This window comes from Homo sapiens, chromosome 1 (genome assembly GCF_000001405.40).
Source record: "Homo sapiens chromosome 1, GRCh38.p14 Primary Assembly".
In the NCBI taxonomy this organism is placed as follows: Eukaryota; Metazoa; Chordata; class Mammalia; order Primates; family Hominidae; genus Homo; species Homo sapiens.
This window is the reverse complement of record NC_000001.11, coordinates 226,163,045-226,187,601: the sequence shown is the minus strand read 5'-3', so window position 1 is coordinate 226,187,601 and position 24,557 is coordinate 226,163,045. Positions and strand designations below refer to the sequence as shown.

At 43.0% G+C, this 24,557-nt stretch overlaps 1 protein-coding gene across 1 annotated transcript in view, besides 5 other annotated features; it reads left to right on the top strand.

Moving 5' to 3' along the window:
- ACBD3 (acyl-CoA binding domain containing 3) overlaps positions 861-24,557 on the top strand; it is a 42,063-nt gene continuing 18,366 nt past the window's right edge. Inside the window, exons 1-3 of the mRNA NM_022735.4 lie at positions 861-1,212; positions 21,602-21,743; positions 22,673-22,813. Of these exons, the coding sequence (NP_073572.2) occupies positions 927-1,212; positions 21,602-21,743; positions 22,673-22,813 (569 nt within the window). The 5' untranslated portion in view covers positions 861-926. The remainder of the gene's footprint in view (positions 1,213-21,601; positions 21,744-22,672; positions 22,814-24,557) is intronic.
- Positions 891-1,370: a silencer, noted in NCBI's record as "silent region_1880". NCBI's record gives its function as "represses an Ori minimal core promoter by ATAC-STARR-seq in GM12878 lymphoblastoid cells {active_cell/tissue: GM12878}" and the evidence as "EXISTENCE:reporter gene assay evidence [ECO:0000049][PMID:35858748]".
- Positions 960-1,254: a silencer, noted in NCBI's record as "tiled region #9906; K562 Repressive non-DNase unmatched - State 1:Tss". NCBI's record gives its function as "represses a minimal TATA promoter and a strong SV40 promoter by Sharpr-MPRA in K562 cells {active_cell/tissue: K562}" and the evidence as "EXISTENCE:reporter gene assay evidence [ECO:0000049][PMID:27701403]".
- Positions 4,676-5,176: an enhancer, noted in NCBI's record as "H3K4me1 hESC enhancer chr1:226370127-226370627 (GRCh37/hg19 assembly coordinates)". NCBI's record gives its function as "activates a minimal SCP1, AML or CMV promoter by ChIP-STARR-seq in naive H9 embryonic stem cells {active_cell/tissue: H9 hESC(naive)}" and the evidence as "EXISTENCE:reporter gene assay evidence [ECO:0000049][PMID:30033119]".
- Positions 5,177-5,677: an enhancer, noted in NCBI's record as "H3K4me1 hESC enhancer chr1:226369626-226370126 (GRCh37/hg19 assembly coordinates)". NCBI's record gives its function as "activates a minimal SCP1, AML or CMV promoter by ChIP-STARR-seq in naive H9 embryonic stem cells {active_cell/tissue: H9 hESC(naive)}" and the evidence as "EXISTENCE:reporter gene assay evidence [ECO:0000049][PMID:30033119]".
- Positions 23,580-23,749: an enhancer, noted in NCBI's record as "experimental_5830 CRE fragment used in MPRA reporter constructs". NCBI's record gives its function as "activates a minimal promoter by MPRAs in K562 erythroleukemia cells, with activity observed for both the introgressed and non-introgressed 1:226351639 variant alleles {active_cell/tissue: K562}" and the evidence as "EXISTENCE:reporter gene assay evidence [ECO:0000049][PMID:34662402]".

Sequence of the window (24,557 nt, the reverse complement as noted above, 5' to 3'; positions counted from 1 at the left end):
AGCCAAAACAAAGGTGGGAAAAATGATCATAAATGGTGCTCCCAAAGTCTGGAAACACAGGTGAATATACATAATGTCGGGGGCGACTTCAATCTTTTAGAAAAAAATAGGTTTCTGGGCTCTCAGACGCCCTGTAGAAGAATATCAGGCAGTCAATGAAAATATTACGGTTATGTGTGTGATGTTTGTGGGTTTTATTAACTTTTAAAATATCATTTGTTTTTTCTTTCTCTTTCTAAATATACATTCACTTTCCTACCCTTCTGCGCGTAACTTTTTGTACTCTTTCCTAATGAGGGTCCCCACAAATTGTATGAGCTGCGCTTCCTGCAAAACCAGGATCAGCCCCGTCTGCAACCTCAAAGTCACTGAATTTCTCTGCAGTCTCAGTTTCCCCTTTTAAAAAAATTGGGAATTTGCCCTGCATTTCCTTAGAGTTGCTGTGAAGGCCAAACGAGATGGTGGTGGGCAAAAGAGCTCTGCCAACCACGCAGGCCCCTGCAAATGTGAAGGGCCTCTGACCTGGAGGGTTGGGTGCTGGCCGACCTCGTCAATCCTCCCTACTCCGACCCCCGCGCGGGGCTCCACTGACCCCGCCCCTGCTGGGCACTGACAGCCGCAGCACCGAACCGAGCGGTGGGGGTGGTAGCACCCGCCCACCTGGAGCAACTGGGATCCGAAAGGATGGGGTGCGGGGGAGGGGAGTTCGGGACCAACGGGAGTTGGGGAGCCTGAAGGGTGGTCGCTGAGCCAGGGCAACTGACGATTCCGGAGGGGGTGGGGCGCCAGGCCTCAGCCCCTCTCCCGGAGCCCTCCAGCCTCCTCAGCAGCGGAAGTTCCGGTGTCGGTAAGCGGAGGTCAGAGGTCAGCAGGAAGTCGATACGTGGCTGCCGTCTGTCCCCGCTGAGGAGGTGCAGCAGCCGGAGATGGCGGCGGTGCTGAACGCAGAGCGACTCGAGGTGTCCGTCGACGGCCTCACGCTCAGCCCGGACCCGGAGGAGCGGCCTGGGGCGGAGGGCGCCCCGCTGCTGCCGCCACCGCTGCCACCGCCCTCGCCACCTGGATCCGGTCGCGGCCCGGGCGCCTCAGGGGAGCAGCCCGAGCCCGGGGAGGCGGCGGCTGGGGGCGCGGCGGAGGAGGCGCGGCGGCTGGAGCAGCGCTGGGGTTTCGGCCTGGAGGAGTTGTACGGCCTGGCACTGCGCTTCTTCAAAGGTGAGCCGGGCCAGCCCCACCCCCGCCGCTTCTGCCCGGCCCCGGGAGCCCGGCGTGGGCTGTGGTCCCCAGGGTGACTGGACCAGACTTGCCCTCACCCACTCATACTGGGCTGTGGTGACTCAAGCGGGGTTCCCTCCTTGGGGGTACCCGAAGTTTGTCACTACCCGCTTGGCCACTAGGTCACACCCCTGACGGGCCTGCAACCTTGGTTTAGCAGTCATGTCCCGCCTCCCAGAGGTTACCGGGACATTTTACCTGATTTAGCTTCTGGGATTTCCAGGAGCCCTGGTGGAAGAATGAGCCCACTTTCTTCCAAAGGATCCCATTCTGGGATTGCCTTTTATTATTATTATTTTTTTAACTGACGCTTTTCTTTTCCTATTTCCCATGGCTTGTCACATCAGAACCCGCCGATTTTTACCCTTAGTGGAAGAAATCTGTCAAGAGGTTCCATACATAGCTTTTCCAGCCATTCTTGGGAACCATAAACTGGAACAGGACTTGATCCCCCGGCAGATTGATGTGGCAGAGAGGAGGAAGTAAAGTGTTAAGCTCATCATCCTCTCCGGCTTGTCAAACTCTTGAGGAGAGATGTCCACTATGTTCTAGTAACTTCTAGGTGGTTAAAATTTTACATTGTAAGCAATGTGCAAGAGTGAATTCTCAGAGTAAGGCCTAACAGTACCTTCTGTGCTTTTCGCATAATTAATTGTTAAATGTCTCTTGTCTTAGAGCAAGATTGTAGTGTGCGGTTTTTTTTTTTTTTAATTGGGTGATTCACTTAGTCGAATGGTGGAGAGACCAATCACATGATTTTTGTCAGTGGGAAAAACTGATGAAAGCCCGTTAGTTTGATTCTTAAAGATACTTAGTCTTGTAGGGCGAATGGACAGGGAGGGACATCAGCAAATGCAACTTTAAAAGTGGTTGCTAGGTTCCACGTACATTCCAGAGCAGCATATTTATGACACTTTCCCCAGAGGGAGTACCTTTTGGAGTACATATTTTACTAGCCAAAGTTGAGTAGTTCAATGTAATGATACACACGGAAGTTGTTTTCTCTCAAAATAACTTTAATTGTGCAAACTAGTGAAAGTTTTATAAATTTTCCAGAACATTTGATCATTTCACATTCAATGACATATTCGTGGTCATTGCACAATGAGTTGAGCCCTCTGTGTACTAACTAGCTTGGGGAATTGGTAATGGCTAATGGGTTTTGGATCATTTGACTTTTAGATCACCGGCTTGAATTTAGAGTTTGCTGTAGTGATGATATATTACCACTTGATAAAAATCAGGTGGTTTCTGTACAATTCATATAGCTACATTCCATCTTAAATTTTTATTCTTGGAACTTATTTTTCAGTAAAGTATATTGTAGCAGAGAGTAAGAGTAGAAATGAACTAATTCCTTTTTTTTTTTTTTTTTGAGCTGGAGTCCTGCTCTGTTGCAGGACTGAGGGAGGCTGAGGCAGGAGAATCACTTGAACCCGGGAGGCGGAGGTTGCAGTGAGCCAAGATGGCACCATTGTACTCCAGCCTGGGCGACGAGCAAAACTCCGTCTAAAAAAAAAAAAAGAATCGCTTCAATATGGGAGGCAGAGGTTGCAGTGAGCCGAGATCATGCCACTGCACTCCATCCTGGGCGACAAAGTGAAATTCTGTCTCAAAACAAAGAAAAAGATTAAAACACTGTAACGTGTAGTATACTTAACATTGTTTGGAGAGTCAGGAAGCTCTGGATTCTAGTTACCTTGTAAACTAGACAATTAACTTTTCCAGAATCAGTTTCATATGTATAAAGGGAGCTGGATTCTATAAAATATGATGTCTCAGATTTAAGATTCAGTGGTCTTAACCTAACAGATTATTTTAACATGTGTCTTGAGTGGTAGGAATCCTGGGGAAACTTATAACTTGGGGCCTAGGTGTTAGTCACCTTAGAGAATAAAGCTACACTGATAGGTGTGGTTCACTCACTTCCTAAATGAAGTTCTCAAAGCAATATCCAGGTACTAAAAAGGAGAAATAGCTGTGTAGCAATTAAAAGCTACCTTTCTGCATGTGTCATTGGAGACTGTTAGTATATGAGACACTAACTGACAAAAGGGAAGGATGTAAAAGCAGTCAGAAGAATTATGGAATGTGGAGTGAGCCAAGTAATGCTGCCTTTGTTTTGTTTTTTGTTTTTGAGATAGAGTCTCACTCTGTCGCCCAGGCTGGAGTGCAGTGGTGCCATCTCGGGGCTCACTGCAAGCTCCACCTCCCGGATTCACTCCATTCTCCTGCCTCAGCCTCCCGAGTAGCTGGGACTACAGGTGCCCACCACCACGCCCGGCTAATTTTTTGTATTTTTCGTAGAGACGAGGTTTCACCGTGTTAGCCAGGATGGTCTCGATTTCCTGACCTCGTGATCCTCCTGCGTCAGCCTCCCAAAGTGCTGGGATTACAGGTGTGAGCCACTGTGCCCAGCCTGGTTTTTTTTTTTTTTTTTTTTTTTAGGCAGAGTTTGATTCTTGTTGCTCAGGCTAGAGTGCAATGGCGCGATCTCAGCTCACTGCAACCTCTGCCTCGAGGGTTCAAGTGATTCTCCTGCCTCTGCCTCCCGAGTAGCTGAGATTACAGGCATGTGCCACCACGCCCAGGTACTTTTGTATTTCTAGTAGAGACGGGGTTTCTCCATGCTGGTCTCGAACTGCCGACCTCAGGTGATCTGCCCACCTTGGCCTCCCAAAGTGTTGGGATTATAGGCGTGAGCCACCGTGCCCGGCACCTTTGTTTTAATGTGTGGATTTTTCTGGTGGAACACATGGTGTTTTGTCAGTCTTGCTGGGACTTTTAATCGCTATTCTATGGTTTTATACCAGTATCTCACGAGAATTAGAAATAACATTACATTTTCGGCCGGGTGTGGTAGCTTTTGCCTGTAATCCCAGCACTTTGGGAGGCCGAGGCGGGTGGATCACAAGGTCAGGAGATCGAGACCACCCTGGCTAACACGGTGAAACCTCATCTGTACTAAAAATAAAAAAATAAAAAAATTAGCTGGGCGTGGTGGCAGGCGCCTATAGTCCCAGCTACTTGGGAGGCTGAGGCAGGAGAATCACTTGAACCCTCAAGGCGGAGCTTGCAGTGAGCCAAGATTTCGTCCCTGCCCTCCAGCCTGGGCAACAGAGCAAGACTCCATCTCAAAAAAATAAATAAATAAAGGAAAGAACATTACATTTTCTCTTCCACTGTGGAATAAATACGAATCTTGAAAGCATGGATATATTTTTCCATTGCAAATAGCTTGGGTTGGAAATGACAAGCCCTATTTCTTATTCCATCCTTGTCAGGGTGGTAATAGGCCAGTGACTGAATCAATTACGTCAACTATTCTTAATTTTTTATGACAGTAAAAGTAAAATAGATGAAGATGTGGGTAAATGTAAGTTAGCATTTTACCATCTAAATTTCAGACATTATTGACTTTTCAGTATGGATAGTTTTATATTAGGTTACAACTATAAATGAATAGTACGTTATCTTTTGCTTAGAGTCCAAAAGAGGAGTTAAGGACCCAGTGACAACTGCAGTACAGTGTGGAGGACTGAGGGAGCAGATGCCATTCCAGAGGGGGGAAGGCCAAGAGCCATGAAAGCCATGAGAAGTCAAAGCATGTCTGTTTGCAAAATGGAAAATAGAAAGCAGTTTGATGGAGAGAGCTGGGAAGGTAACTGAGTTCAATTCTTGGAAGGACTTGCATGCCATTGTCATTTTTTTTTTCTGAGACGGAGTCTTGCTATGTCACCCAGGCTGGAATGCAGTGGCATGATCTCCACTCCCTGCAACCTCTGCCTCCTGGGTTCATGTGATTCTCCTGCCTCAGCCTCGTGAGTAGCTGAGCTTACAGGCTTGTGCCACCACACCCAGCTAATTTTTGTATTATTAATAGAGATGGGGTTTCACCATGTTGGCCAGTCTGGTCTTGGACTGACCCCAAATGATCTCCCCGCCTCGGCCTTCCAAAGCGCTGGGATTACAGGCGTGAACCACCGCGCCTGGCCATGTAAGTATTAATAGTTCGGCCTTTTTGTCAGTAAATTAGAAGATGAGGAACCACTGGAGGTTTTTAAAGGGAGGAGCAAAGTTGCTCAATTCTTTTTTTTTTTTTAGACAGTCTGGTTTTGTTATGCAGGCTAGAGGGCAGTAGTGCGATCTTGGCTCACTGCCCCCTATGCCTCCCAGGCTCAAGCCATCCTCCCACCTCATCCTCCTGTGTGACTGGGACCACAGGCACGAGCCACCATGCCCGGCTAATTTTTGTATTTTTTGTAGAGACAGAGGTCTTGCTTTGTTGCCCAGCTGGTCTTTAGCTCCTGAGCTCAAGCGATTCACCCGCCTTGGCCTCTCAAAGTGCTGGGATTACAGGCATGAGCTACCACGCCCGGCCAGAGTTGCCCAGTTCTATTTTAACAATGTTAAGCTAGGTTTTCTTATCTCCATGGGTTAAGGACCCACAGGAATCCAGTGGGTTCATTTTATTATGACCTTTATACTTCTTGGATGGAGTTGACCTGGGGAATTGTATTTTGGTTTTTAGAGTTCTTTGGGGTGGACTTTTCCTTCTCTAATACTTTATTACTGTATTACATTAAGCTGGTAGATTGTTTACATTAATTTAAGATTTCAGAGTAATAATTGTCAATAGTTATTGAGTAGATGTTTACTAAATCTCAGGTACTATGCCAAAAACTGTATGTACATTATTTTGTTTAATCCTCCAAGAGGCCTTCTGTAAGGGTATTAATCCCATTTCTGAGTTAAGGATCCTGCCTCAGGCCCCTCAGTTATTTGGAAGGTAAGTCTTGGACTCATTTTCTTTATGGAATAGTTCTACTAGCATTGCTATTGATTATACCCAATTGTGTTACTGATAGTAGAGTATTATATGTTGGGAGAGAATTATATTAATGATAGCAAACAAATGGACAACTGAAATGGTTCCATTTCCTCTTGTCTTCTTTAAACATAGGCAACTACAAGAGCATTTATAAATGGCTTCCTTAATGTTTTAAAATACTGTACAGCTGTAATTTATTCATTGGAAACATATATAATTAGTGTGCCTCCTGGACTTCAGTGGTCTATCCTCAGATAATTTCAAGTTTGTTACTATGGAACATCTATTAGAGTTCTTTTTCCCTTTTATTATCTTTACCTTTAGACATAAGTATGTAATACTGTAGGAGGATATATAGACCTAAGAGAGACAGATGTAAGACAGAAAAACAATTATAGCCACCAAGTTCATGTTAAATTTGAGCTGAACCAAAACTTTCCTTTGACTGGATTCAGGAATGTGTATGTGTTGTTGTTGTCATTGTTTTTTTTTTTTTTTTTGAGATGGAGTCTCATTCTGTCACCGAGGCTGGAGTGCAATGGCGCGATCTCAGCTCACTGCAGCCTCTGCCTCCTGGGTTCAAGCAATTCTCCTGCCTCAGCCTCCCGAGTAGCTGGGATTACAGGCACATGCCACTACGCCCAGCTAATTTTTGTATTTTTAGTACAGACAGGGTTTCACCATGTTAGTCAGGCTGGTCTCGAGCTCCTGACCTCAGGTAATCCACCTGCCTTGGCCTCCCAAAGTGCTAGAATTACAGGCGTGAGCCACTGTGCCCAGTGTGTATATGTTTTTAATGTAAGTGATTTTAACATTTTCCCGAGGCTTCCCTTTATCACACATGCAGTGCACTAAAGTACACAAATACTAAGTGTGTAGCTTGATGAGTTTTCAGAAAGTGGACAGTGTAGCCAATGCCCAGGAGCAGATGTTTTATCAGTTAACTAATACAAGAGCTACTGTGAATCAGTATTTAGAAAGGTAAGCTCTGGAGTCAACACTCTTTAGGGTGTGTTTTCCTTGCTCTGCCACTTAATTTTGTTAACTTTTTGTGCTTTCCTGTACTCAAAGGGTTGTTTTAGGAATTATAAGAAATTATATATATAAACTCTTAGCAGAATGCCTGGCTATTGGTATTTTTGTGGCTGCTTATGTTGTTGAAAAGGAGGTACTTCTGAGAATTGATTATGGATGTTTTGAGTTAATGGAGGGGAAGTCTTAAAACTTTTACTAAGCAGTTAGTATATGCTAGGCAATTCCCAGAGTGTTTCCTACTCATTGATTTAGGAATACTGCATTGTATTATCCTTTTTTTTTTTTTTTTTTGGGAGACAGAGTCTTGCTCTGTTGCCCAGGCTGGAGTGGAATGGCCCAGTCTTGGCTTACTGCAACCTCCGCCTCCTAGGTTCAGACTATTCTCTTGCCTCAGCCTCCCGAGTAGCTGGGACTACAGGCACGTGCCACCCCACCCAGCTAATCTTTGTATTTTTAGTAGAGACAGGGTTTCACTATGTTGGCTAGGCTGGTCTTGAACTCCTGACCTTGTGATCCATCCACCTCGGCCTCCCAAAGTGCTGGGATTACAGGCGTGAGCTGCTGCACCTAGTTGGTTTTTCAGTTTTAATATTTGGTTTTTTTTGGAGACGGAGTTTCACTCTTGGTGCCCAGGCTAGAGTGCAGTGGTGCGATCTCAGCTCACTGCAACCTCTGCCTTCTGGGTTCAAGCGATTCTCCTGCCTCAGCCTCCCAAGTAGCTGGGATTACAGGTGTGCACCACCACACCCGGCTAATTTTTGTATTTTTAGTAGAGATGGGGTTTCTCCATGTTGGGTCAGGCTGGTCCCAAACTCCCAACATCAGGTGATCTGCCCACCCGGCCTCTCAAAGTACTGGGATTACAGGCGTGAACCACCACGCCTGGCCCAGTTTTAATATTTCTAAAAGATGGATTTTAATCAAAGTGTATTCTCTGTGAGGCAACAGTGTGATATGGCCATGAAATAAAACAGATTTGATCTTAGGCTGCTTTGGTGGAAATATGGTAACTAGGATGAGGGAAAGAGAGAGATAGTCCTGCTCTCCTCTGCACCAAGGAGTACACCTCAAACAAGCCGTGGATACTGCTTGTTTGAGGCATCATCCTTTAGGGTTAAAAACAAAATGGAGCTCATTCAGAAGAGAGCAACTTGTACCTAGTGGGAATTCAAGTCCCTGCCATTATTATCATAATGGCTGCTGTTTAGTCAGTGTCTGCTCTGTGCAGGCACTATACAAAGATTTTGGGACACATTTCTAACACTCATATGAACCCTAAGGAGCAGTATTTATTTTATTGATAACAAAACAGATTTCAAAAGATTAAATAACTTGTCCATGTTATATACTTAATAGCAGAGCTGGGAATTAAATTTAAATTTGAAGTATGATTGACTAAGCTGGGAATGTGTAGCCAAGAGAATAGAGAACTCAGGGCAAACACAATACATATTTTGTGACTTTCTTGAGGTCTAATTAGTTAGATGTGTTTTAGTTAATGCTGAGGACAGGAAATAAACCCTGTGGATGGAGTTGAGAGATACCACCTCAGAATAAAGAGCTAAGAATCACAGCTATTCAAAGATGGATTAGACTGCTTTGGGACAGTGAGTTCTTATCACCAGGAAGTATTCAAGCATAGGTTAGCAATTGCTGGGTGGATATTGTAGAGAGGATTTGAGATTTAGTTTGCAATTCAATCACCTATCTTTAACATCCTTTCCACGCCGTAGATTTTATGGCCTTCTTTCATTAAATGAAGGCTAGAAGGGACATTGAAATAATTTGGTACTTTCCTTTGCCTCCAGAGAGAAGAGAAAAAATATGATTTCTCCTATAAAATAGCAATTGAGGTGTGAGCCTAATAGTCTTTTTTTTTTTTTTTTTTTGAGACGGAGTCTTGCTCTGTCGCCCAGGATGGAGTGCAGTGGCGCAATCTCGGCTCACTGCAAGCTCCGCCTCCCGGGTTCACGCCATTCTCCTGCCTCAGCCTCCCGAGTAGCTGGGACTACAGGCGCCCGCCACCATGCCCGGCTAATTTTTTTTTTTGTACTTTTAGTAGAGACGGGGTTTTACCATGTTAGCCAGGATGGTCTCGAACTCCTGACCTGATGATCCGCCCACCTTGGCCTCCCAAAGTGCTGGGATTACAGGTGTGAGCCACTGCGCCCAGCCCCTAATAGTCTTTTGTATACTTAATTTCAGGTGGGAGGGACTTAATTGTAATCTTTCAGAGCTTTGGACTTGGTATCAAATTATGCTGTCCTATTTGAACTGTAAAGTTAAATACTTGTGAGTTTAGTAAGAACATAATGTACATCCCATTATCTGTTTTTAATTGCCTGAAAAATGTGTTTTGTATATCATGTTAGTTTCCTATTGCTCTTGTAACAAATTACCACAAATTTATTGGCTTGGGCTGGGTGTAGTGGCTCACGTCTGTAATCCCAGCACTTTGGGAGGTTGAGGCAGGTGGATCACTGAGCTCAGGAGTTCCAGACCAGCCTGCGCAATATGGGAAAACTCCATCTCTGCAAAAAAAACCCCACAAAAATTAGCCAGGCTTGGTGGCTTGTACCTGTAGCCCCAGCTACTCAGGAGGCTGAGGTGGGAGAATCACATGAACCTGGGAGGCAGAGGTTGCAGTGAGTGAGATCGTGCCACTGCACTCCAGCCTGGGCTACAGAGCAAGACCCTGTCTAAAAAAAAAAAAAAATAGTGGCTCAAAACAACTCATACTAAAAATCCGTCTGCACTTAAGATTTTCCTGCAAGCCCTAACGTGTACCGGACAACCTGTTCAGACTCTCATGGTTGGGAATATCCTCTGATGATCTGACTCCCCTAGTCTATGGATTAAATTGATAGAAGATCTGATTTGTATAGTAAACTCCTCTGTTCATACTGGTATTGACTGTTCCTGATTCAAGATGACAGCTACAATGGTACTGTCAAAAACAGCTACGTGGGGCTGGGCACGGTGGCTCATACCTGTAATCCCAGCACTCTGGGAGGCTGAGGCAGGCGGATCTACGAGTTCAGGAGATGGAGACCATCCTGGCTAATGCGGTGAAACCCGTCTCTACTTAAAAAAAAAAAAAAAGCCAAGAGTGGTGGTGGCCACCTGTAGTCCCAGCTACTTGGGAGGCTGAGGCAGGAGAATGGCGTAAACCTGGGAGGTGGAGCTTGCAGTGAGCTGAGATCACACCACTGCACTCCAGCATCAACTGGGACCACTTGAACCCGTCCCGGTTCAAGCGACAAAAGCAAGACTCCGTCTAAAAAAAAAAAAAAAAAAAACAGCTACATGGGAATTTGTTCCTCTGCCGCATTGTGCAGTGACTGGTTTCACCCAGTACTTTGATGTGAGAATAAGCACTTTCCTCATATCAGGAATATTGTGGGTGTTTCCTGTTACTCACGGCTGAATGTAATCTTCGGTACATTACCAATTATGTTTGATTGTATGTGATTAAAAATAATGTGCACATTTTTTCCTCAAAGTTGCTGGACATGTTTCTTCGAAAGCAGTTAATAAACAATTTCTAACAATTTATCTACTAACAAATACTGTTTTTTTAAATTTACTGAGAAGAAATATTAAAATATCTCATTGACAGTCATGGATCAGATAAACTTTATAATTAGCCTTATAATTTTGCTGATTATTTGACATTGTGAGTCAGTATTCACAAAAGTTGAGGCATTTTTTTCTTCATGTATATTTTACTTTTCATATTCATATAGTCACAGTTTTTATGATAATAATTTCTCATTCACTCATAATACCAAAAGTTAAATCGTGCTTTTCTGAGTGCCCTCTTGCCAAAGACCACCAGGATCACAACTATTGTTAAAGAAGGTGTAAAAAATTGTAGTAATAAATATGACCACAAGCAAAGCAAACAAAAACCACACACACACTGTTACCGTTCTGTAGGTTAGAGATAGGTCCTGTTGGGGTAAAATCAAGGTGTCAGCAGGGCTTTGTTTCTTCTGGAGAGCACCTGAAAGCTTTTTTTTTTTTTTTTTTTTGAGACGGAGTCTCGCTCTGTAGCCCAGGCTGGAGTGCAGTGGTGCGATCTTGAGTCACTGCAACCTCTGCCTCCCAGTCCCGGTTCAAGCAGTTCTCCAGCCTCAGCCCCCCGAATAGCTGGGAATACAGGCACGTGCACCATGCCCAGCTAATTTGTGTATTTTTAGTAGAGACAGGGCTTCACCATGTTGGCCAGGCTGGTCTTGAACTCCTGACCTCATGATCCACCCGCCTCGGCTTCCCAAAGTGCTGGGATTACAGGCGTGAGCCACCACGCCCAGCCGCAAGCTTTTGTTTATGCCCCTTCCTCCATCTTCAGAGCCACCATAGCCTCTTCAGATCTCTGACTCTTCTTTCTTCCCTTCCATTTATAAGGACCCTTATGATTACATTGGGCCCACATGAGTAGTTCAGGAAAAGGCCAACTGCAACCTTAATTCTGCCTTTGCAAGTAACCTAACATATTCACAGGTTCCAGAAGTTAAACATCTTTGAGGAGCCATTATTCTGCCCACCACTTGTGTCATAGTAGCTTATGAACTGATTACTGAAATTGTGCATGAGTTTATTCGTTTTACCTTTTTATTAAAAATGGAAACCAGAGCAATTGAAAAGGTGAAATTGGACTACAACATTTATAATGAAAAATAGTCATCCTGTTTTCTGGTGTTTTTCCCATTTCCTAGGCCTTCTCCCCAGAGGCAGCTGCTTTCCATTATTTTAACTGTTTCTTCTGGTATTTGCTTCCATTTTCCTACTGCTGCTTTAATTAAAAAAAAAAAATTCTAATGTATGTCTGTATCTCTCTTTCTCCTTTCCTCTTCTCAGACTCTTAATTTTGTTTTGTGGTTAAATTGTTGTCTGCTGTTTGTTTTTATGTTATTCATTGCTGAAACAGATGATACACTTTGATTACATTTTTGTTCTTGTGCAAACCTTTTTATAAAGACATCTATCTTAAATGTCCTTAAATTCTTGAATCAGTCTTAGTGTTTGTGGTAAGACTTAGTTAAGTCGGCTGCCCAACTGTCATCCTGGAAATTACCTTCGTCTTTTCCTATTGTGGTTAGATTTTGTTTTCCCTGAATCACTTATTTTCCTTTGTTGTTGTTTTTATTTATTCCATTACTTTGGAAATGCACACCCCTTAATATCTTCTTGTGAAAAGAGTGCATGAGACCATGCCTTTCCAAAAATGTGTTTTACTGTCACTTTTGATTTATTTGATTGGGCATAAAAGTCTAGATTGGAAATAATTTCCTTCCGGAATTTTGAAGGCATTATTCCATTCATTGCTTTCTTTTTTCTTTTTCTTTCTTTTTTTTTTTTTTTTTTTTGAGATGGAGTCTCACTCTTTTGTCAGGCTGGAACACAGTGGCAATTTCGGCTCACTGTAACCTCCGCCTCCCAGGTTCAAGCGATTCTCCTGTCTCAGCCTCGTGAGTAGCTGGGATTACAGGTGCATGCCACCATGCCGGGCTATTTTTTTTTTATTTTTAGTAGAGATGGGGTTTCACCATGTTGGTCAGGCTGGTCCTGACCTCAGGTGATCTGCCTGCCTTGGCCTCCCAAAGTGCTGGGATTACAGGCCTGAGCCACTGTGCCCACCTTCCCATTCATTGTTTTCTAGCATTCAGTATTCTTTTTTTGTTTGTTTGTTTTTGAGACGGAGTCTGGCTCTGTCACCCAGGCTGGAGTACAGTGGCACGATCTTGGCTCACTGCAACGTCTGCCTCCCGGGTTCAGGCGATTCTCCTGCCTCAGCCTCCCAAGTAGCTAGGATTACAGGGCGTGCACCACCACTCCCAGCTAATTTTTGCATTTTTAGTGGAGACTGGGTTTCACCATGTTGGTCAGGCTGGTCTCGAACTCCTGACCTCAGGTGATCCACTTGCCCTGGCCTCCCAAAGTGCTGGGATTACAGGCGTGAGCCACCACACCTGGCTTTTTCCAGGGTTCTCTAAATTGGCTTCCTTATTCCTTTTAGTGTGGTTTCATTAAGGATCAGAGGTAATTGTCTGTGTTCAATCTATCATGTTTAATTAGAGGTTTATCTGCATGTTTTCTTTTCCAAGCAGAATTTGTGTTTGGTTTTGTTTGCCATAGAAAGCAGAATTCCAAAATTGATTGAATTAAATAACTTTGTAATATTAATAATTAATGAGTGCAAGAGCCGAGGATGATGCTTGTGTTCCCTTCTGGGAGGACTGAAATAGAACTTTCCTTTAGGAATAGGGCCCTGGTTAAAGATTTTTGAGTTTCTACAAGGCTTTTTGTGTCTGTGCAGTTAGTGGTACTTATTATTTTCCTGCTAACTACATTTAACGTTTATGGTACCAGAAATAATTTAGAAGAAAATTATTCTTGGTTGGGTGCGGTGGCTCACACTGTAATCCCAGGTCTTCGGGGCTCTGAGGCAGGCGGATTACCTGATGTCAGGAGTTTTGAGACTAGCCCGGTCAACATGGTGAAACCCCTTCTGTACTAAAAATAAAAAAATTAGCTAGGTGTGGTAGTGCACACTTCTGTAATCCCAGCTACTGGGGAGGCTGAGGCAGGAGAATCACTTGAACCTGGGAGGTGGAAGTTGCAGTGAGTCGAGATCATCCCACTGCACTCCAGCCTGGGCAACAGAGTGAGACTCTGTCTCAAAAAAAAAAAAAAAAAAAAAGAAAAGAAAAAAAAAGAAGAAAATTATTCTCACCTGATTTAAAATACTAAACTCTTGTGATGTGTCAACCAGAGCCACCTGAAGAGTAAGAGAGCTGTAACCTTTTGTGTAATACTAATAGTCTGCATAGCAATATAGATTGTGAAGGATTTTTATTTTTCTGTGTTTTTTTTCTGAAGCTTAGAACTTCAGTACTGTGTGAACTGTGCTATACCGAAAGTGGTTGGGGTTAGCACAGCCTCCTGGGTTTTGTATATTCCTTGGGAGAATAATCTCTTAACCTCATCCCAAAGGCTGAAAATACATTGCTTCGACTTTAAAAATGTGTGTTAAAAAAGATAATGTGTATGTGTGTTTGATTACAAAGTACATATGCTTACTGAAAATTTGGGGAAATAAAAAATGAATAAATAAAATAAAATTAATTTGTAATACAGTCTTTCAAAAATAATTATTAGTATTAACATTTTGAATTTTGTTTCGTTTTGAGACAGGGTCTCACTCTGTCACTCAGGCTGGAGTGCAGTGGCACCATCATGGCTCACCACAGTCTCAATGCCCAAGATCAAGGGATCCTCTCATCTTGGCCACCCTAGTAGCTGGGACTGTGGTACACGCCACCATGCCCAGCTAAATTTTGGTTTTTTGTATGTGTGTGGAGACAGGATTTCACTTTGTTTCGCAGGCTGGTCTCAAACTCCTGGGCTCAAGCAATCCACCTGCCCTAGCTTTCCAAAGTGCCAGGATTATAGGCATGAGCCACCAGGCCCAGCTGGGTTTGTTTGTTTGTTTGTTTGTTGTTTAGACAGGGTCTTCATCTGTCACCCAGGCTGGAGTTCGGTGGTGCTTTCACAGTCTATTGGAGCCTCGACCTTCAGGCTCAAGCAATCCTGAGCCTCCAGAGAAGCCTGGACTTCAGGCGCATGCCGCCGCACCCAGCTGTATGCCACCACACCCAGCTGTTTTTTAGTTTTTTGTAGAGATGGGGTCTTGCAGTGTTGCCCAGGTTGGTCTCAAACTCCTGGACTCAAGTGATCCTCCCCCTTCAGCCTCCCAAAGTGTTGGGATTAGAGGTGTGAGCCACTGCACCTGGCTGTTTGTTTTCTTGATTTTTTTTTTGAGACAAATTTGGCTCTCATCTAGAAAAATTATTAATTTGGAGATTCAGTAGTAAGATTTAAAGAAAGGATTATAGAGCAATTATTTTTATTTTCTTCAGAGTCAGAATCTTAATGGATTGCCCAGGCTAGATTCTAACTTGTGGATTCAAATGATCTTCCTGTCTCAGCCTCCCAAGTAGGTGGGACTACAGGTGCATGCCACTGCAGCTGGCGATAGAGCAATTCTTAAAACTAGTACGTGCATAAAAGAGTAAATGGGAATGCAAGGACAGTTCACAAGAATGGATATACTGTTTTGTTCATTCTCACAGTAGTTGACCCATAAAGTCAATTTCTTTTGTGAGATTTGCTGGGCGTGTTTTTTGATGAGGGCCTGTGAACAAAAACGTAGGCTTAAGCACTGAAGTTCACAGAGGTCAGCGAATCTGTTTGCCTGACCAGGACTAGCACTGAAAATGTATTCCTCTTTTTTTTTTTTTTTGAGATGGAGTTTTGCTCTTGTTTCCCAGGCTGGAGTACAGTGGCACGATCTCGGCTCACTGCAACCTCCGCCTCCCAGGTTCAAGCAACTCTCCTGCTTTAGCGTCCCAAGTAGCTGGGATTATAGGTGTGCGCCAGCATGCCTGGCTAATTTTTGTATTTTCATTAGAGACGGGGTTTCTCATGTTAGTCAGGCTGATCTCAAACTCCTGACCTCAGGTGATCCACCCGCCCCAGCCTCCCAAAGTGCCGGGATTACAGGCATGAGCCACCGTGTGTGGCCACATATTCTTCTTTTTAAAAACACATTTATTGGCCAGGCACGGTGGCTCACGTCTGTAATCCCAGCATTTTGGGAAGCTGAGGCGGGCAGATCACCTGAGGTCAGGAGTTCAGGACCAGCCTGGCCAACCCAACATGGTGAAACCCCATCTCTGTGAAAAATACAAAAATTAGCCAGGCACGGTGGCGCACACCTGTAGTCCCAGCTACTCAGGAGGCTGAGGCACAAGAATCGCTTGAGCCCGGGAGGCAGAAGTTGCAGTGAGCCGAGATCACGCCACTGTGCTCCATCGTGGGTAACAGAGCAAGACTTCATCTCAAAATAATAAATAAATAAATATACTTTTTAAGTTTGCACTGTATTTTTAATTCTGTCAGGTGTAAAAAGGGCAGACGTTAAAATAACATCCAAAAGTACTGAAACTCGACCAGGCACAGTGGCTCACACCTGTAATCCCAGCATTTTGGGAGGCCAAGGTGGGTGGATCACCTGAGATCAGGAGTTCGAGACCAGCCTGGCCAACATGGTAAAACCTCGTCCCTACTAAAAAGTACAAAAAGTAGCCAGGCGTGGTGGTGCATGCCTGTAATTCCAGCTACTTGGGAGGCTGAGGCAGGAGAATCCCTTGAACCAGGGAGATGGAGGTTGCAGTGAGCCGAGATTGTGCCACCACACTCCAGCCTGGGTGACAGAGCGAGAGTCTGTCTCAGAAAAAAAAAAAATTGTTTACTTACCATCCCTCAAAGACCCTGCGCCTAGTTCACATTATCAAATGCTTGAAATAAAGAGACAAGTTGGCCAGGCATGGTGGCTCGTGTCTATAATCCCAGCACTTTGGAAGCCTAGGGCGATTGATTACTTGAAGCCAGGAGCTCGAGACCAACCTGGGTAACATGGCAAAACCCTCTGTCTACAAAAACACAAAAATTAACTGGGCATAGTGGCACTCACCAGTAGTTCCAGCTACTCAGGAGGCTGAGGTGGGAGAATCCCTTGAGCCCAGGAGTTCAAGGCTGCAGTGAGCTGTGATCGTGCCACTGCCCTCCAGCCTGGGTGACAGAGTGAGAACCTGTCTCAAAAAGAAGCAAACGTATCATCTGGTAGGAAATGAACCCTCCCTCCATTAGTAGAAAACCCAAATAGCAGTATTTTACAGATAACTTTATAGCAATAGTCAGGGATTTCAAAAAATTTTTTTCATATCCACTTGCCCCATCTATTAGTTCAAATCATCTTCCTGCAGCAAAAAAAAATTTTGTGTGTGTGTATGTTCGAAATTGCTGTTTTGCATGACTAATCAGAAAAGTTGTCTTCAGGTGAATAGTTTCCATGTGATTTTATCTTTACTGACATTTATTTAGATAAAACTACTTAATTGAGTTTATTCTTAAAAAAAGAAAGGCCGAGCACGGTGGCTCACGTCTGTAATCTCAGCACTTTGGGAGGCCCAGGTGGGCAGATCACGAGGTCAGGAGATCGAGATCATCCTGGGTAACATGGTGAAACCCCGTCTCTACTAAAAAAAAAAAAAAAAAAAAAATTCAAAAAATTAGCTGGGCGTGGTGGCGGGCGCCTGCAGTCCCAGCTACTCGGGAGGCTGAGGCAGGAGAATGGCGTGAACCCAGGAGGCAGAGCTTGCAGTGAACCGAGATCATGCCACTGCACTCCAGCCTGGGTGACAGAGTGAGACTCCGTCTCAAAAAAAAAAACCAAAAAAAAAAAGGAAAGGAAAAATGCACTCTCAGTCTCAGGCCCACCACATCTTTTTTTCTTGAATCATTGGCAGCATATGTTCTTTTATAGGCTCAAGATAAAATGACACAGGTTAATGTCTTTTTTTTTTTTTTTTTTTTGAGATGGAATCTCGCTCTGTTTCTTAGGCTGGAGTGCAGTGGTATGATTTAGGCTCGCTGCAACCTCCATCTCGTTCAAGCGATTCTCCTGCCTCAGCTCCCTGAGTAGCTGGGATTACAGATGTGCTGTACCACCACACCCAGCTAGTTTTTGTATTTTTAGTAGAGAGAGGGTTTTGCCATGTTGGCCAGACTGATCTCGAACTCTTGACCTCAGGTGATCCATCTGCCTTGGCCTCCCAAAGTGCTGGGATTACAGGTGTGAGCCACTGTGCCCGGCTGCTTAATGCCCTTTTTTTTTTTTGTTTTAAAAAACAAAAACTCGGCTCACGCCTGTAATGCTAGCACTTTGGGAGGCCGAGGCAGGCCGATCACGAGGTCAGGAGATCGAGACCATCCTGGCTAAAGCAGTGAAACCCCATCTCTACTAAAAATCCCAAAAAAAAAAAAAAAAAAAAAAAATAGCCAGGCAGTCCAGGCGCGGTGGCTCATGCCTGTAATCCCAGCACTTTGGGAGGCCGAGGCGGGCAGATCACGAGGTCAGGAGATCGAGACCATCCTGGCTAACACAGTGAAACCCCGTCTCTACTAAAAATACAAAAAAAATTAGCCGAGCATGGTGGCGGGCGCTTGTAGTCCCAGCTACTCGGGAGGCTGAGGCAGGAGAATGGCGTGAACCCGGGAGGCAGAGCTTGCAGTGAGCCGAGATCGCACCACGGCACTCCAGCCTGGGTGACAGAGCGAGACTCTGTCTCGAGAAAAAAAATAAAAATAAAAAAAAACTCTCTAAATCACAAGGCTAAGATCAGGAGCTGGAGCTATTTTTCAAATTATCGCCATTTGTTAAAAGCGAGAAGGGGGTGGGCACAGTGGCTCACGCCTGTAATCTCAATACTTTGGGAGGCTGAGATGGGTGGATCACCTGAGGTCAGAAGTTGGAGACCAGCCTGGCTAACATGGTGAAACCCCATCTCTGCTAAAAATATAAAAACTAGCCGGGTATGGTGGCGCACACCTGTAGTCCTAGCTACTTGGGAGGCTGAGGCAGGAGAATCACTTGAACCCAAGAGACGGAAGCTGCAGTGAGTCGAGATTGTGCCACTCACTGCACTCCAGCCTGGGCAACAGAGCGAGACTCCGTCTCAAATAAAAAGTGAGAAGGAAGTTGTTCTGGGCTGTGTTTCTCTAATAATTACCTGTGACGTAGTGTAAGAAAACTTTTGGTGATTAATATCCTTATCAAGTATTTGATGATTAATGTCATCAAGTATTATGTGTTGTATGTGCTATATATACTTTTATACAGCTGGCAGCACAGTAGGTTAGTTTAACGCCAGCATCATCGTAAATACTTGAGTTATATGTTGCATCATGTTATGGTGGCTACCACACCACTAGGCCATAGGAAAATTTCAGCTCCATTATAATAATCTTATGGGACTACACTCATATAAACAATCTGTCCTTTACTGAAATGCCATTATGCAGAGCATGACTGTACCATGTTGTTTCGACTTTCCCTTATTGATAACCTTTTAAGTTATTTCCAGTAACAAGAAAATAGTGCTGCAATGAATGTCCTTGTATCTGCCTCCTTTTATATATTTGAGAGTGCTTGTCAAGCATATGTAATGAGAACTGGAATGACTGGATCATAGGGCATACACATTTATAGTTTTGAAATACAGGAGTCTCTCCTTGTCCATGGTTTTGCTTTCCCTTCTTTCAGATACCCGGGGTTAATCAAGGTCTGAAAATAGGTGAGTAGAATACATTCAGATATTTTGAGAGAGACAGAGATCCCACATTCACATAACTTGTTGTTGTATATTGTTATATAATTACAATATACAAATATAATACAGTATTTTATTGTTAATCTCTTATTGTATCTAATTTATAAATTACAGGTATGTACATTTAGGAAAAACATAATATATGTAGGGTTCAATATTATCTGCAGTCTTAAACATCCACTGGGGGATAAGATAAGGACTATTGTGTATTGCCAAATTGACCTTCAAGGTAACTATAACAGTTTATACTTTCAGCATTCATATATGAGAATGGGTACCTGTTTGTAGGATCTTAATAACTTTAGATGTTATCTAACTTTTTTGTTTATCTGATGGGAGGTGGGGGTCTTGGTATCTAATGCTTTTAATTTATATTTCTTGACTAGTGGGGTTGAATATCTTTTTGGATGTTTATTGGCAGCTTCTATATTTTTTCTTCTCTGAGTTTCCTGCTGTTCTTTAACCCATATTCTTCTCACTTATTAGTGATTTTATTTCACCACTATATACATGAATGAGACATATAAGTAGCATATGCTACTTTCAAGTGCCCTCCCCGTTTTCTTTAAATTTGGTAGTCTGTTGTCATTGGAATCAACCAGTAGTTAGTGCTACCATTTATCAAAGAAGTGGAACTGTTCTCTGAATATTTCCCATTTTACCAGAACCCAATTTCATACGGCTTTTAAATGTTGGTAGCAGTTAGTCTTTATTGGTCAAACTGGTCGCACTCTTAATTGCCTATATGGAAACCTACCAGAGCCAATCAGGTGAAGGAAAGAAAAGCATTAATAAGTTAGTAATAATAATAATCCTATTACCTCTGAAGTAGCAACCTCTGAAGGGTAACCCTTTCTTTATTGATGAATAAACTGAGAGGTTAAATAGTCACATAGCTAGGAAGTGTCTCAGCTGAGATTTAAACCCAGGCCATCCAATTCCAAAGCCTTTTCCACCACATTATACTACCTTAGTGGGATGGATACATTTTTGAATACAGCCTTTCAAAGTGTACATAATCTTCTATGCATGATCATGTTAAAAGGGACTAATGTAAAATTATTTTAAGTTTTTCTTTTCTCTTTTGGCTAAAAATTATTTTTAAAAGCTATTTTAAAAACCGATTGTTGGGCTGGGCATGGTGGCTCACACCTGTAATCCCAGCACTTTGGGAGGCTGAGGCAGGAGGATTGCTTGAACCCAGGGTTCAAGACCAGTCTGGGCAACATTGTAAGACATCGTCTCTGCAAAAAGTAAAAAATTAACCAGATGTGGTGGCACATGCCTGTAGTCCCAGCTTCTCGGGAGGCTGAGGCAGAAGGATTGCTTAAGCCTGGGAGGTCAAGGCTGTAGCCTGACTGCAGCTTGACAGATGGGTTTTTCTGTAGTAGCTTTAGCATAAGTATTGATAGTTGGCTTATTTTTACAACCTAATTCAGGGTAGGCATGGTGGTCCACACTTGTAATGCCAGCACTTTGGGATACTGAGACGGGAGAATCACTTGAGCTCAGGAGTCCGAGACCAGCCTGGGCAACATAGTGAGACCTTGTCTCTACAAAAATAAAAACATTTTCCACGTATGATGGCGCATACTCCTGTAGTCCCAGGTAGTTGGGTGACTGAGGTGGGAGGATCACTTAAGCTCAGCAGGTTGAGGCTGCAGTGAGCTGTGATTGTGCCACTGCATTCCAGCCTGGGCAATAGAGCGAGACCTTGTCTCAAAAAAAAAAAAAAAAAAATCAGCATACCGGATTTCCGTCTTAGGTTCTGTTATTAATAAAATGTAGTAATTGGGCTGGGCATGCTGGCTCAAATCCCAGCAGTTTTGAAAAGGAGGCCAAGACGAGAGGCTTGCTTGAGCCCAAAAGTTCGAGACCAGCCTGGGCAGCCCTGTCTCTGCCAAAAGACAGGTTTGGTGGCACGCACGTGTAGTCCAGCTACTTGGGGGGCTGAGGTGGGAGGGTCATTTGAGTCCCGGAGGTCAAGGCTTCAGTGAGCCTTCATCACACCATTGCACTCCAGCCTGGGCAACAGAGTGAGACTCTGTCTAAAAATAAAAAAATTTTTTAAAAGTAGTAATTGAAATAAAAATTTCACTATTAGTGTTTGTGTCTATTACAGGCAGTTTGTGACATGCTTTGTAGCAAAGCTTTAGTATATAATGCTGAAAATTATGTATTTTGCCTGTGCTAATTGTTTTCTTTGTGTTTCTTTTTCTTATAGAAAAAGATGGCAAAGCATTTCATCCAACTTATGAAGAAAAATTGAAGCTTGTGGCACTGCATAAGCAAGTTCTTATGGGCCCATATAATCCAGACACTTGTCCTGAGGTTGGATTCTTTGATGTGTTGGGGAATGACAGGAGGTAACAGTGTTTTTCTGTATAGTGAATTTAATGAGGATAATGTTGGCAAAGGGTACAATGTGTATTGGTTAAGGTGTAAGTAGCTGGTTCATTAGCTTAGGATAAGAACTGAACATTTTTGCTTGCAGCTTCTGGAGTCTTCAGATATTTATCTGTTTTTAGCTTAGAGATGTTTATGGTTAAATATTGTGGAAGAACTGTATTCATCTGCTTATGAACATAAGACAAGTAGAGCTTCATTTGATTCTTCCCAAATAATATTAAAAGTAGCCATTTAAAATATATAGTAATTGATTCCCTTATTGAGGCATAAAAAAAATTGTGACAAAAAAAGAATACATTGAGTATTTTTGTTTAATTAAGGCTCAAATATTATATAAGAAAAATAGGCCAGGTGCGGCAGTTCATGCCTGTAATCCCGGCACTTTGGGAGGCCGAGGTGGGTAGATCATTTGAGGTCAGGAGTTCAAGACCAGCCTGGCCAACATAGTAAAACCCCATCTCTACTAAAAATTAAAAAATTAGCCGGCGGTAGTGGCACATGCCTGTAATCCTACCTACTCGGGAGGCTGAAGCAGGAGAATCGCTTGAGCCTGGGAGGCAGAGGTTCTGCTGAGCCAAGATCGCACCAGTGCACTCCAGTCTGGGCAACAGAGTGAGATCCTATCTCAAAAAAAAAAAGAAAAAAGAAAAATTGATACTCTTTTGCTATATGGGAATCATCAGCAATGCAGTTGTTTGGATTGTATGTGGCGTATCTAATTTAGTAAATCAATACATACTTGTTAAAACTTGAAGTTTTGAGCCTTTTGCTCCCAATAGAATCATTCATTTTACTTACAATTGAGAATTATTCATATTTAGGTTTAAATTTAAAAGTTCTCATTCTACTAAGAAGGGGAGGTAACTTTTCTTGTTATTCCTTACAGGAGAGAATGGGCAGCCCTGGGAAACATGTCTAAAGAGGATGCCATGGTGGAGTTTGTCAAGCTCTTAAATAGGTGTTGCCATCTCTTTTCAACATATGTTGCGTCCCACAAAATAGAGAAGGAAGAGCAAGAAAAAAAAAGGTGAAGTTTGAGGGCATGGAATACTTTATTGCTGCGCAGCCCAGTGTACTGATGCTTTTGTTTTGTAGAGTGTCTGTTCTAGTTCTAGATCAGGTGTCTTGCTTTCCTTGGATCCCCATTTCTTGTGGCAATTGTTCAAACTTCCTGATGTGAACAGGTACTTGTATTATAAGTTTTGGGGGGAGGGAGGACTGCTTCCTACTGGCCGTGCCTTTAAAAGGAACCTCCCATCCATCATGGCAGCCTTCCTTTTGTTTTATTACACTAAGTTTCTGAATAAGCCCCACCATAAACTCAACCACTCCCTCCTCCCTATCCTCTGGTCTGACATACCCTTTGTTGCAGTCTCCCTCGAGCTTCTAGAATCCTCATGCTCCATTTCATGGTTTGCAACTATGCTACCTTATATAGACATTCATGTTGGCTTTGGCTTCCAGCTGGCTTATTGATTATTTTCAAGTTTTGGAGGAGGAGCTACTGAATGTGCTGTTTATGCTTATGGGATTCTCTGTTGTAGTTGTGAATTAGAATTATAGTTACACCTTATTTTTCTAGTGGCTATATTTTCATCAATTTTGACTATCTAAAATTTTAGGTGATGAAAATGATGCTACAAAACCAATTTTTCTTCAGGTTATGTTATACTTTTTTTTTTTTTTTTTTTTTTTTTTTAAGATGGAGTCTTGCTCTGTTGCTATTGCTCAGGCCGGAGTGCAGTGACACAATCCTCTGCCTCCTGGGTTCAAGCAGTTCTCCTGCCTCAGCCTCCCGAGTAGCTGGGAGAGGGATTACAGGTGCCTGCCACCAACCCAGCTAATTTTTGTGTTTTTAGTAGAGATGAGGTTTTACTATGTTGGCCAGGCTGGTCTCAAACTCCTGACCTCAGGTGATCCACCCGCCTGGTCCTCCCAAAGTGCTGGGATTACAGGCATGAGCCACCTTGCCCAGCCGATGTTATTCTTTAAAAACAATTGATTCTCTGGTTTCCTACCTTAACCTGGATTAGAAATAACAGATTAGAAGAGAAAATAGCTTGATAATTAGGGACATAATAGAAAGCATGAAAAATAGACACGAGAATTATAAAAGCATGGCAGTCAGGGGTCATTTAATATGAAGGTAAACTTCTCCATTACAATAGTATGATGTACAATTTTTATGTTTACAGCTGTAACCCCTGAGTTATCAAGAGATGGAACATTAGATATGATTTATTCCTATTTAAGATAATAGGAAATTGCTTGATTACATTTTCAGAAGATATTTATCCAAAGAAATTTTTTTTTTTAATCTAAAGGAAAGGTTTTGATTCTTATGAGAAAAGAATGAGATTTCTTTAACTGGAAAATTGATTTATGTCCTACAGTCCATTGTGTAGTGATGTTGGATCAATCAGGTATCGCTAGGGTGTCTGTAGAAGTATCTATATATTGCTTTTTAAGTTCTTATTTTAATGATATATATGCATATTTCTCTTAAGCATTGTCAAAAGTTACTACTCAACATATAGAGCTGCGTTTTCGTTTTAAAAATATACTTTTGTCATGGGATAAAGTCCACATAGAATTATTTTAAAGTGTTTAAGAGTAGACTTCATCTATCCTGAAGCTTAAGCTCTGGCTTGTGAACCTTCTTGCTCTGTACCAGCTGTGACACATTAAAAGTAGGTCATGGCCGGGTGCAGTGGCTCACGCCTGTGGTGGCTCACATCTGTAATCTCAGCACTTGGGGAGAACGAGGCGGG